This window comes from Homo sapiens, chromosome 1, assembly GCF_000001405.40.
Source record: "Homo sapiens chromosome 1, GRCh38.p14 Primary Assembly".
NCBI classification, from domain to species: domain Eukaryota; kingdom Metazoa; phylum Chordata; class Mammalia; order Primates; family Hominidae; genus Homo; species Homo sapiens.
In genome coordinates, this window is record NC_000001.11 from 174,841,372 (window position 1) to 174,853,794 (window position 12,423).

General features: G+C 39.6%; 1 protein-coding gene and 1 pseudogene across 22 annotated transcripts in view, besides 4 other annotated features; one reads left to right on the forward strand and one right to left on the reverse strand.

Moving 5' to 3' along the window:
• Positions 1 to 12,423, forward strand: part of RABGAP1L (RAB GTPase activating protein 1 like) — an 835,789-nt gene that overhangs the window by 681,852 nt on the left and 141,514 nt on the right. The window lies entirely within an intron of this gene.
• Positions 7,067 to 7,657: an enhancer, noted in NCBI's record as "NANOG-H3K27ac-H3K4me1 hESC enhancer chr1:174817576-174818166 (GRCh37/hg19 assembly coordinates)". NCBI's record gives its function as "activates a minimal SCP1, AML or CMV promoter by ChIP-STARR-seq in primed H9 embryonic stem cells {active_cell/tissue: H9 hESC(primed)}" and the evidence as "EXISTENCE:reporter gene assay evidence [ECO:0000049][PMID:30033119]".
• Positions 7,067 to 8,578: a biological region, named in NCBI's record as "MED14-independent group 3 enhancer GRCh37_chr1:174817888-174819087".
• Positions 7,379 to 8,578: an enhancer, noted in NCBI's record as "MED14-independent group 3 enhancer chr1:174817888-174819087 (GRCh37/hg19 assembly coordinates)". NCBI's record gives its function as "activates an origin of replication core promoter dependent on BRD2, BRD4, P300/CBP and CDK7 cofactors, and independent of MED14, by STARR-seq in HCT116 cells {active_cell/tissue: HCT116}" and the evidence as "EXISTENCE:reporter gene assay evidence [ECO:0000049][PMID:35650434]".
• Positions 7,658 to 8,248: an enhancer, noted in NCBI's record as "NANOG-H3K27ac-H3K4me1 hESC enhancer chr1:174818167-174818757 (GRCh37/hg19 assembly coordinates)". NCBI's record gives its function as "activates a minimal SCP1, AML or CMV promoter by ChIP-STARR-seq in naive and primed H9 embryonic stem cells {active_cell/tissue: H9 hESC(naive and primed)}" and the evidence as "EXISTENCE:reporter gene assay evidence [ECO:0000049][PMID:30033119]".
• On the reverse strand, positions 8,103 to 8,870 carry NDUFAF4P4 (NADH:ubiquinone oxidoreductase complex assembly factor 4 pseudogene 4; annotated as a pseudogene).

The window sequence follows — 12,423 nt, forward strand, 5'->3', positions numbered from 1 at the left end:
CAGAAGAAACCAAACAAGTTATAGAAAATCTAAAACAAAAGCATAATGAAAACAATACATATCAGAACTTGTGAGATGGAGCTAAAATAGAGTTCAGAGGCACTTATCTTAATGAAGAAAGAAAATAACTCCATTAAATATCTAACTCAAAGTTAGAAAAATTATCAATAAACATAAAAAAGCAGAAGAAGGGAATAAAAGTTATAAATTAGACAAAAATTGATCAGCTAAATAAAAGAGCTGATTTTTTAAAAATATGATATTAAGTTTATAAAATCAAAAAGTAGACAGGAAAGGGCATAAACCAAGAAATAATGGGGAAATGATAAAAATAGAAAAGAAGAGAATCCTAAGAAAATATTTTGTTCAATCCTGTGCAAATTAATTTGAGAACCTAGAAGAAATGGATGATTTTCTAGGAAAATTGAAAAAATAAATACTAACTTTAGATAACTAGAAAATCTAAACTATTAGCACAGAATAACTTTCTTTTTTTTTTTTGATATAGGAAGTCCTTTATTTTGTCATGTGAAACCATATAACAGCTGCCTAACCACAATGTAGATGCCAATAGGAGATGGCTCAGAAATAGCACTAGTGACTCAAATAGTGACCATTATGATAAAAGGAATAAAGTTTTGACTGATTTATAGCAGTTTTAAAATGCGTTTTATATTGAGTAGTTATTTCATGTTTTCTCAAAAGAATTATTATGTTAAACCAAAAATAAACTAGGTATATAGTTTGTTCATATAACAAATCTACATTCAAAGACATGCTTACAAATTTTCCACTTAGTCCATTTTTCTGTTCTTAGCATTACTACAAATGCCTCCTTCCGTCATCATGTTGAATTCTTCAGCATCTTCTATATCATTTCCAGGGGCATCTCTGGGAAGTAGTGATGCCTGTCTTCCTTCAGAAGCACTGATAACCCCAATATACCCACAGTACACACATTTTCCCTCTCCTGAGGTGTGCTACTTTTTGGCACAACAGAAAAAACTCATTACTAGGATTTGAAAACCTAAATTCTGGGCCTGGTTAGGTCATAAACTACAGAACCATAGATCATATATTCTCCCCAGGAGCCTGTTTCTCCACTGCATAAATAATTCATATTTGCTTGGCCCTTTGTAGTCCTTTACTGTTTCATTTATCTTCATGATAACCCTTAAATTTAAGTAAGGTAGCAGTATGCTCATTTTATAGAAGAAATTCAGTCTCAAAGAGGATACACAGTCTCCCAAAGATCCCACAATAGTAATATATTAGGCAGAGCTAAACTCACACAATCTTACTCAAGATCCTAGTGCTGGTACATGGTATGCTCATAAGTTTGCTAAAATGGATGAAGCAGCAGTTTCTCAGGTCCCTTTCAGTGATCCTGTTCTCTGCTTCCACTTGATGTTTTTTCTCTCGTCTCTCAACTAGCATTAACATCCAAAACTATATATAATCACTAAATTTCATTTACCATCATTTTCTTATTTAATTATTCTTTAAATTTTTCTATTTCCATGTTAAATCCAGAGAAATGTTACTTTTTCGAAAGTTTCTACTGCTGCCTGCCTCTCTGAAGGCCATGGGACTTACCTATTTGTTTGTCAAAGCAAAAATTCCCAACATTTTGTAAACACCACTAATTACTTTTTATAACTGTAAAAACAATTATTCCATACTTAAAACCAATTCAAAATAAAATAAATCCTCGATACTTCTTACTCCCTGGAGTAGTAATTTTAATTAGATTCTACTGATTCGTAATTTTTTCCTCTGTGCCTTTATTTGGGAAATACTGTTAGTCTACCTCACTATCAAGTCTCTTTCCCTAACAAGAAAATGTCACAGTCTTTTTTTTTTTTTTTTTTATACTTTAAGTTTTAGGGTACATGTGCACATTGTGCAGGTTAGTTACATATGTATACATGTGCCATGCTGGTGTGCTGCACCCACTAACTCGTCATCTAGCATTAGGTATATCTCCCAATGCTATCCCTCCCCTCTCCCCCCACCCCACAACAGTCCCCAGAGTGTGATATTCCCCTTCCTGTGTCCATGTGATCTCATTGTTCAATTCCCACCTATGAGGGAGAATATGCGGTGTTTGGTTTTTTGTTCTTGCGATAGTTTACTGAGAATGATGGTTTCCAGTTTCATCCATGTCCCTACAAAGGACATGAACTCATCATTTTTTATGGCTGCATAGTATTCCATGGTGTATATGTGCCACATTTTCTTAATCCAGTCTATCATTGTTGGACATTTGGGTTGGTTCCAAGTCTTTGCTATTGTGAATAATGCCGCAATAAACATACGTGTGCATGTGTCTTTATAGCAGCATGATTTATAGTCATTTGGGTATATACCCAGTAATGGGATGGCTGGGTCAAATGGTATTTCTAGTTCTAGATCCCTGAGGAATCGCCACACTGACTTCCACAATGGTTGAACTGGTTTACAGTCCCACCAACAGTGTAAAAGTGTTCCTATTTCTCCACATCCTCTCCAGCACCTGTTGTTTCCTGACTTTTTAATGATCGCCATTCTAACTGGTGTGAGATGATATCTCATAGTGGTTTTGATTTGCATTTCTCTGATGGCCAGTGATGATGAGCATTTTTTCATGTGTTTTTTGGCTGCATAAATGTCTTCTTTTGAGAAGTGTCTGTTCATGTCCTTCGCCCACTTTTTGATGGGGTTGTTTTTTTCTTGTAAATTTGTTCGAGTTCATTGTAGATTCTGGATATTAGCCCTTTGTCAGATGAGTAGGTTGCGAAAATTTTCTCCCATGTTGTAGGTTGCCTGTTCACTCTGATGGTAGTTTCTTTTGCTGTGCAGAAGCTCTTTAGTTTAATTAGATCCCATTTGTCAATTTTGGCTTTTGTTGCCATTGCTTTTGGTGTTTTGGACATGAAGTCCTTGCCCACACCTATGTCCTGAATGGTAATGCCTAGGTTTTCTTCTAGGGTTTTTATGGTTTTAGGTCTAACGTTTAAATCTTTAATCCATCTTGAATTGATTTTTGTATAAGGTGTAAGGAAGGGATCCAGTTTCAGCTTTCTACATATGGCTAGCCAGTTTTCCCAGCACCATTTATTAAATAGGGAATCCTTTCCCCATTGCTTGTTTTTCTCAGGTTTGTCAAAGATCAGATAGTTGTAGGTATGCGGCGTTATTTCTGAGGGCTCTGTTCTGTTCCATTGATCTATATCTCTGTTTTGGTACCAGTACCATGCTGTTTTGGTTACTGTAGCCTTGAAGTATAGTTTGAAGTCAGGTAGCGTGATGCCTCCAGCTTTGTTCTTTTGGCTTAGGATTGACTTGGCGATGCGGGCTCTTTTTTGGTTCCATATGAACTTTAAAGTAGTTTTTTCCAATTCTGTGAAGAAAGTCATTGGTAGCTTGATGGGGATGGCATTGAATCTGTAAATTACCTTGGGCAGTATGGCCATTTTCACGATATTGATTCTTCCTACCCATGAGCATGGAATGTTCTTCCATTTGTTTGTATCCTCTTTTATTTCCTTGAGCAGTGGTTTGTAGTTCTCCTTGAAGAGGTCCTTCACATCCCTTGTAAGTTGGATTCCTAGGTATTTTATTCTCTTTGAAGCAATTGTGAATGGGAGATCACTCATGATTTGGCTCTCTGTTTGTCTGTTATTGGTGTATAAGAATGCTTGTGATTTTTGTACATTGATTTTGTATCCTGAGACTTTGCTGAAGTTGCTTATCAGCTTAAGGAGATTTTGGGCTGAGATGATGGAGTTTTCTAGATAAACAATCATGTCGTCTGCAAACAGGGACAATTTGACTTCCTCTTTTCCTAATTGAATACCTTTTATTTCCTTCTCCTGCCTGATTGCCCTGGCCAGAACTTCCAACACTATGTTGAATAGGAGCGGTGAGAGAGGGCATCCCTGTCTTGTGCCAGTTTTCAAAGGGAGTGCTTCCAGTTTTTGCCCATTCAGTATGATATTGGCTGTGGGTTTGTCATAGATAGCTCTTATTATTTTGAAATACATCCCATCAATACCTAATTTATTGAGAGTTTTTAGCATGAAGGGTTGTTGAATTTTGTCAAAGGCTTTTTCTGCATCTATTGAGATAATCATGTGGTTTTTGTCTTTGGCTCTGTTTATATGCTGGATTACATTTATTGATTTGCGTATATTGAACCAGCCTTGCATCCCAGGGATGAAGCCCACTTGATCATGGTGGATAAGCTTTTTGATGTGCTGCTGGATTCGGTTTGCCAGTATTTTATTGAGGATTTTTGCATCAATGTTCATCAAGGATATTGGTCTAAAATTCTCTTTTTTGGTTGTGTCTCTGCCCGGCTTTGGTATCAGAATGATGCTGGCCTCATAAAATGAGTTAGGGAGGATTCCCTCTTTTTCTATTGATTGGAATAGTTTCAGAAGGAATGGTACCAGTTCCTCCTTGTACCTCTGGTAGAATTCAGCTGTGAATCCATCTGGTCCTGGACTCTTTTTGGTTGGTAAACTACTGATTATTGCCACAATTTCAGCTCCTGTTATTGGTCTATTCAGAGATTCAACTTCTTCCTGGTTTAGTCTTGGGAGAGTGTATGTGTCGAGGAATGTATCCATTTCTTCTAGATTTTCTAGTTTATTTGTGTAGAGGTGTTTGTAGTATTCTCTGATGGTAGTTTGTATTTCTGTGGGATCGGTGGTGATATCCCCTTTATTATTTTTTATTGTGTCTATTTGATTCTTCTCTCTTTTCTTCTTTATTAGTCTTGCTAGCGGTCTATCAATTTTGTTGATCCTTTCAAAAAACCAGCTCCTGGATTCATTGATTTTTTGAAGGGTTTTTTGTGTCTCTATTTCCTTCAGTTCTGCTCTGATTTTAGTTATTTCTTGCCTTCTGCTAGCTTTTGAATGTGTTTGCTCTTGCTTTTCTAGTTCTTTTAATTGTGATGTTAGGGTGTCAATTTTGGATCTTTCCCGCTTTCTCTTGTGGGCATTTAGTGCTATAAATTTCCCTCTACACACTGCTTTGAATGCCTCCCAGAGATTCTGGTATGTTGTGTCTTTGTTCTCGTTGGTTTCAAAGAACATCTTTATTTCTGCCTTCATTTCGTTACGTACCCAGTAGTCATTCAGGAGCAGGTTGTTCAGTTTCCATGTAGTTGAGTGGCTTTGAGTGAGATTCTTAATCCTGAGTTCTAGTTTGATTGCACTGTGGTCTGAGAGATAGTTTGTTATAATTTCTGTTCTTTTACATTTGCTGAGGAGAGTTTTACTTCCAACTATGTGGTCAATTTTGGAATAGGTGTGGTGTGGTGCTGAAAAAAATGTATATTCTGTTGATTTGGGGTGGAGAGTTCTGTAGATGTCTGTTAGGTCCGCTTGGTGCAGAGCTGAGTTCAATTCCTGGGTATCCTTGTTGACTTTCTGTCTCATTGATCTGTCTAATGTTGACAGTGGGGTGTTAAAGTCTCCCATTATTAATGTGTGGGAGTCTAAGTCTCTTTGTAGGTCACTCAGGACTTGCTTTATGAATCTGGGTGCTCCTGTATTGGGTGCATATATATTTAGGATAGTTAGTTCCTCTTGTTGAATTGATCCCTTTACCATTATGTAATGGCCTTCTTTGTCTCTTTTGATCTTTGTTGGTTTAAAGTCTGTTTTATCAGAGACTAGGATTGCAACCCCTGCCTTTTTTTGTTTTCCATTTGCTTGGTAGATCTTCCTCCATCCTTTTATTTTGAGCCTATGTGTGTCTCTGCACGTGAGATGGGTTTCCTGAATACAGCACACTGTTGGGTCTTGACTCTTTATCCAACTTGCCAGTCTGTGTCTTTTAATTGGAGAATTGAGTCCATTTACATTTAAAGTTAATATTGTTATGTGTGAATTTGATCCTGTCATTATGATGTTAGCTGGTGATTTTGCTCGTTAGTTGATGCAGTTTCTTCTCAGCATAGATGGTCTTTACATTTTGGCATGATTTTGCAGCGGCTGGTACCGGTTGTTCCTTTCCATGTTTAGTGCTTCCTTCAGGAGCTCTTTTAGGGCAGGCCTGGTGGTGACAAAATCTCTCAGCATTTGCTTGTCTGTAAAGTATTTTATTTCTCCTTCACTTTTGAAGCTTAGTTTGGCTGGATATGAAATTCTGGGTTGAAAATTCTTTTCTTTAAGAATGTTGAATATTGGCCCCCACTCTCTTCTGGCTTGTAGGGTTTCTGCCGAGAGATCTGCTGTTAGTCTGATGGGCTTCCCTTTGAGGGTAACCCGACCTTTCTCTCTGGCTGCCCTTAACATTTTTTCCTTCATTTCAACTTTGGTGAATCTGACAATTATGTGTCTTGGAGTTGCTCTTCTCGAGGATTATCTTTGTGGCGTTCTCTGTATTTCCTGAGTCTGAACGTTGGCCTGCCTTGCTAGATTGGGGAAGTTCTCCTGGGTAATATCCTGCAGAGTGTTTTCCAACTTGGTTCCATTCTCCACATCACTTTGAGGTACACCAATCAGACGTAGATTTGGTCTTTTCACATAGTCCCATATTTCTTGGAGGCTTTGCTCATTTCTTTTTATTCTTTTTTCTCTAAACTTCCCTTCTCGCTTCATTTCATTCATTTCATCTTCCATTGCTGATACCCTTTCTTCCAGTTGATCGCATCGGCTCCTGAGGCTTCTGCATTCTTCACGTAGTTCTCGAGCCTTGGTTTTCAGCTCCATCAGCTCCTTTAAGCACTTCTCTGTATTGGTTATTCTAGTTATACATTCTTCTAAATTTTTTTCAAAGTTTTCAACTTCTTTGCCTTTGGTTTGAATGTCCTCCCGTAGCTCAGAGTAATTTGATCGTCTGAAGACTTCTTCTCTCAGCTCGTCAAAATCATTCTCCATCCAGCTTTGTTCCGTTGCTGGTGAGGAACTGCGTTCCTTTGGAGGAGGAGAGGCGCTCTGCGTTTTAGAGTTTCCAGTTTTTCTGTTCTGTTTTTTCCCCATCTTTGTGGTTTTATCTACTTTTGGTCTTTGATGATGGTGATGTACAGATGGGTTTTTGGTGTGGATGTCCTTTCTGTTTGTTAGTTTTCCTTCTAACAGACAGGACCCTCAGCTGCAGGTCTGTTGGAATACCCTGCAGTGTGAGGTGTCAGTTTGCCCCTGCTGGGGGGTGCCTCCCAGTTAGGCTGCTCGGGGGTCAGGGGTCAGGGACCCACTTGAGGAGGCAGTCTGCCCGTTCTCAGATCTCCAGCTGCTTGCTGGGAGAACCACTGCTCTCTTCAAAGCTGTCAGACAGGGACATTTAAGTCTGCAGAGGTTACTGCTGTCTTTTTGTTTGTCTGTGCCCTGCCCCCAGAGGTGGAGCCTACAGAGGCAGGCAGGCCTCCTTGAGCTGTGGTGGGCTCCACCCAGTTCGAGCTTCCCGGCTGCTTTGTTTACCTAAGCAAGCCTGGGCAATGGCGGGCGCCCCTCCCCCAGCTTCGCTGCCGCCTTGCAGTTTGATCTCAGACTGCTGTGCTAGCAATCAGCGAGATTCCGTGGGCGTAGGACCCTCCGAGCCAGGTGTGGGATATAGTCTCGTGGTGCGCCGTTTTTTAAGCCGGTCTGAAAAGCGCAATATTCGGGTGGGAGTGACCCGATTTTCCAGGTGCGTCCGTCACCGCTTTCTTTGACTCAGAAAGGGAACTCCCTGACCCCTTGCGCTTCCCAGGTGAGGCAATGCCTCGCCCTGCTTCGGCTCGCGCACGGTGCGTGCACCCACTGGCCTGCGCCCACTGTCTGGCACTCCCTAGTGAGATGAACCCGGTACCTCAGATGGAAATGCAGAAATCACCCGTCTTCTGCGTGGCTCACGCTGGGAGCTGTAGACCGGAGCTGTTCCTATTCGGCCATCTTGAAAATGTCACAGTCTTAAGAGTCAGGAAAGCTTTTACTTTCACTATCACATATGAAGAATGAACTAAACACCTAAACTGGACAGTAAAACTTAAATGAGGGATTCAGGATATTTCCCAAGGGGCCATATGACGAATTTAAAAGTTGGTATGATGTGCCTAAAATAACACGCTCTTTTACTTATAATAAAGGTACAGATGTAGTGATTAGTCATGCTGACATGTACATATAAAATATGCCTATGCCAAATTAAAAGAAAACAAAATACATTCTATGGCAATCCTGAAAAGTCAGGGAGGTCAATAAATATTAAGAGTATGCTCTCACAATTAGCATTAAACACATGGTAATTAACACAATTTAATATGTGAAAAATGAGAAAATATACAGGATGAGAAGTACACTTAGGAATTTGTTGTGATTTTCTTCATTTTGATTGTATTGCTTTCTTGTCTTCAGGAGATTTCGACTTCTGAATTCGCATCTTTCTGTTCTAAATGGTATTCTTGGGCTATTTTCTCAGCAGTTCATGTTTCTGGATAAAGTTTATGATTATTGAGAAGTGTCAATGCTTCTACAATGGAAATTTTGCCTTTGGGAATGATCTTAATATTTATCATATTAAAGTGATGGCCAAAAGGCAATCTGAATTCTTTCAGCTCTTGACATCTTTCAGCAGCTTTTACCTGCATGGAAGACACAGGATCTTTGGAATCAACATACACATCTTTTAGAAATGACAGCAGCTTGTCATCTTTATGAGCAATCTCTCCCTTAATTTCTGGATAGAAACTAATCTGCTCTTGCAGGAGGCTGTTGGTAGAGGGGTGTCTGGGATTGGGAGGGGGCTTCATCTTGTTGATTTCCCATTCCTCTCAGTTCTCTAGGTTGAAATTCCTGATCCTGCGAGTCACTGCAGCCCCCATCTCCTCATAACATGATGCCCTCAGGTTTACGCCACACGTGGGAACACCAGTGCAGGAAACCTCCGGGGTACCCTAGAATAACTTTCTTCTACTGAGGCCTTGGTGATTTAACAGGAGAATTCTACCAAACCTTTCAGGAATAAATCAACTCAGTCTTCCCAAATACATATGCTTTAATAAATGTGGATATCTCTGGAAGGACACATGAGAAACTAGTAAACAGTTATTATTCCCAGGGAACAGAACTGGGACTGAGGGACATTATTAGAAAGAAGTCTTGCTTTTTCCTGTATATCTTTTATACCTTTTGTGTTTTGTACCATTTGCATATGGTACTCATCCAAGTATGAGGAATTTAGAACATCTTTGTTTTACATTTGAACAAGTTGACAACACTGTTTGGCTTTTGTTATTATGTTTACCTTACGTTTTCAGTAAATGTAGTAGGCATAATTTCTTAAATACCTCCCTTCCCCAAAGATGTCCCACCGTAATTCCTGGAATCATGATGAATATGATGCTCTATTACTGATTCTGTGATTATGTTTTGCCATATGGCACAGTTGACATTAAAATAGGAAATTCAAGCCTACATTATCTGAGTGGGCCTAATCGAATCATATGAGCCTTGAAAGCAGAGAGCTTTCTTTGGCTAATGGCAGGAAGGAAAGTCAAAGAGATTGGAAGTATGAGAAGGACTCAGTGTGCAATAGCTGCTTTGAAAGTGGAGGAGACCACTTGAGAAAGAAGGCAAGTAGTTTTGAGGAGCTGAGGGCAGCTCCCAGCTGACAGCTAGCAAGGGAACTGGCCAAATCCTTGCAACCTCAAGGAACTACTAGCTCTGTCAAAAACCTGAAAGAGGTTGAGAGTGGATTCTTCCCCAGTCTCCAGATGAGAGTCCAGCCCAACAGGCATCTTGATTTCAGCTTTGTGATACCCTGAGCAGAGCCCACTTGGGACTCCTGACCTATGGGGATGTGAGATAATAAATGGATATTGTTTTCAGCTGCTAAATATGTTATATAGGAGTAGAAACTAATAGAGCAAAATTATGTTCTAAAACTTTAATACATGTGGGCTTTCAGAGGCTTTAGAGATGGGAGCCATATTCCCTCCAGTCTGGGTGTGATGGGTAGTGCCAAAGAAGCTGCAGAGCCGGTGGAACAGTGTCATGTGTCAGCCAGAGGCTGCATCGTTTCCATTGGTGCCATAAGTAGAATATGCTCTGCTGTCTTTTCATTACTTTCTCCAATTGTGCAGAGAATGAATTTTTTATATCTGTCTCAGTCTTTAGAAGCAATTTTTTAGCATTTCTGTTTTAAATAATCTTGTATTTTCAATGAAGAAGTTGCCATTTCTTTCTTTTTTTTTGAGACAGGGCCTTGCTCTGTCGCCCATGCTGGAGTACAATCACCACTTACTGCAACCTTGACCTTCCAGGCTCAAGCAATCTTCCCATCTCAGTCTCCTGAGTAGCTTGGCTACAGACACGCACCACCATGCACAGCTTTTTTTTTTTTTAATTTTTTTTGATAGAGACAGAGTCTCTCTGTGGTTGCCCAGGCTGGTCTCGAACTCCTGGGCTCTAGCAGTCCTCCCACCTCAGCTTCCCAAAGTGTTGGGATTACAATGTGTGCCACAACACCTGGCCTTTTCTTTGGATGTCTTAGGAAATTAACTCCTACCTTTCTAAAAATTCCTGGGTTTATGTGACCTGGATTTAAATGGTCATGAGAGAAATTTCTGATATGATAGTGCAATCAAGTAACACTGGAATTCTTTGACTACCTTAGTTTTTCTAGAGTTTCACTTAAATTAACCCAATTTTGTTCCATTGGCAGTTTTATCCAAGACTGAATAAAGGTAGTTTACCTTTTAAGTTGCTATACACTAGAACTTACCTTTCAATTAATTCTTTTAATTTAACAGTGTGGAAAGCTATTATTTACTTTTTATTTAATTGATAGTACTTTTGTAAACTTTTACCTGAAAAAAGTAACTTTGAGAACCACAGAGAAGAAACATATTGGTTAAGGTTTCTGAAGAGTGTCGGAGGATTCAAGAGTGTGGGGAATTGCTTCTGTGATTCCCATCACTTCACATTCTGAGTAGAAAAGCACACAACAGAAATGCTGCAAGTCAGCATCAGGAGTCCATAGCATCCATCATCAAGTGCAATAAGACTGTGACTCTCTGTTACTGAGTTGTGATGCTTTTTCTTTTTGCCAGTAAGTTACATGGTCCAGTTTTTTCTTTCTTAGATGACTTCAGGGACTTGTTGTAAGCCTGCTGAGGTCAAGGAATGCTTCTGCCTTATGTGCAGTGTATTATAAAAAGATTTATCTGTGATAAAAGTGGAACTCGGCTGGGCATGGTGGCTCACACCTGTAATCCCAGCAATTTGGGAGGCTGAGGCGGGCTGATCACTTGAGGCCAGGAGTTCGAGACCAGCCTGGCCAACATAGTGAAACCCCATCGCTACTAAAAATACAAAAAAATTAGCTGGGCGTGTTGGCATGGGCCTGTAATCCCAGCTACTCAGGAGGCTGAGGCAAGAGAATCACTTGAACCCAGGAGACAGAGGCTGCAGTGAGCTGAGATCATGCCACTGCACTCCAGCCTGGGTGACAGAGCAAGATTTGGTCTCAAAAAAAAAAATAAAAACAAAAAAAAGTAGAACCCATGAAGAAAAATTTAAACAACTGATTTTAATGACTGTAAAGGAGTATCACTAGTAGAAAAATGTTTCTATATTGTTAGGATAATCAAGTTTCTTTAAAGATAATATTGATCATTTTTAGCAGAAGTTTGTTATTTATCTTTAGGAAATGAAATTAAATATTTTGCTTTGTTTTGTTTTTAATGTTTCTAAAAGGAATGAAACTGCATTATTGCTGATTCTGTTGTGGATTGAGGCATTTAGAGTAGCAAAAATTATATTAATGCTCTGTGCCAAAACACATAAAATGGCTTTATCACTGATTGGTGTCTCAATTATAAAAAGGTAATAATTTGCATAATATGATAAGAATGCCACTTGAAAGAAAGGAGGCTGGGTTGTTTTTTTTTTTTTTAACATCCAGTAAAACATGATTGACATCATCTAGTCAAATTATATATTATACTGAGCTTTATTTTCTGTATAAACCATATTTTACAGATATTATTTTAAAAGAAATTGAAATCTTCTGGGCTTAGGTTTCAGAGTTATATATAACTCATAAGTGAGCTGTGTGAGCTGAGTTCCTTAAACCTAGGTCTCATTTCAAAGGCTAGCTTTGGGCTGGTTGCAGTGGCTCACGCCTGTAATCCCAGCACTTTGGGAGGCTGAGGCAGGTGGATCACAAGGTCAGGAGATCAAGACTATCCTGGCTAACACGGTGAAACCCTGTCTCTACTAAAAATACAAAAAATTAGCCAGGCATGGTGGCGCACACCTGTAGTCCCAGCTACTCGGGAGGCTGAGACAGGAGAATTGCTTGAACCTGGGAGGTGGAGGTTGCGGTGAGCCGAGATGGCGCCACTGCACTCCAGCCTGGGCGACAGAGCGAGACTCCACTCCATCTCAAAAAAACAAAAAAAACAAAAAGGCTAGCTTTGTTCCAAAGCCCAAACCTGGCTCTGGT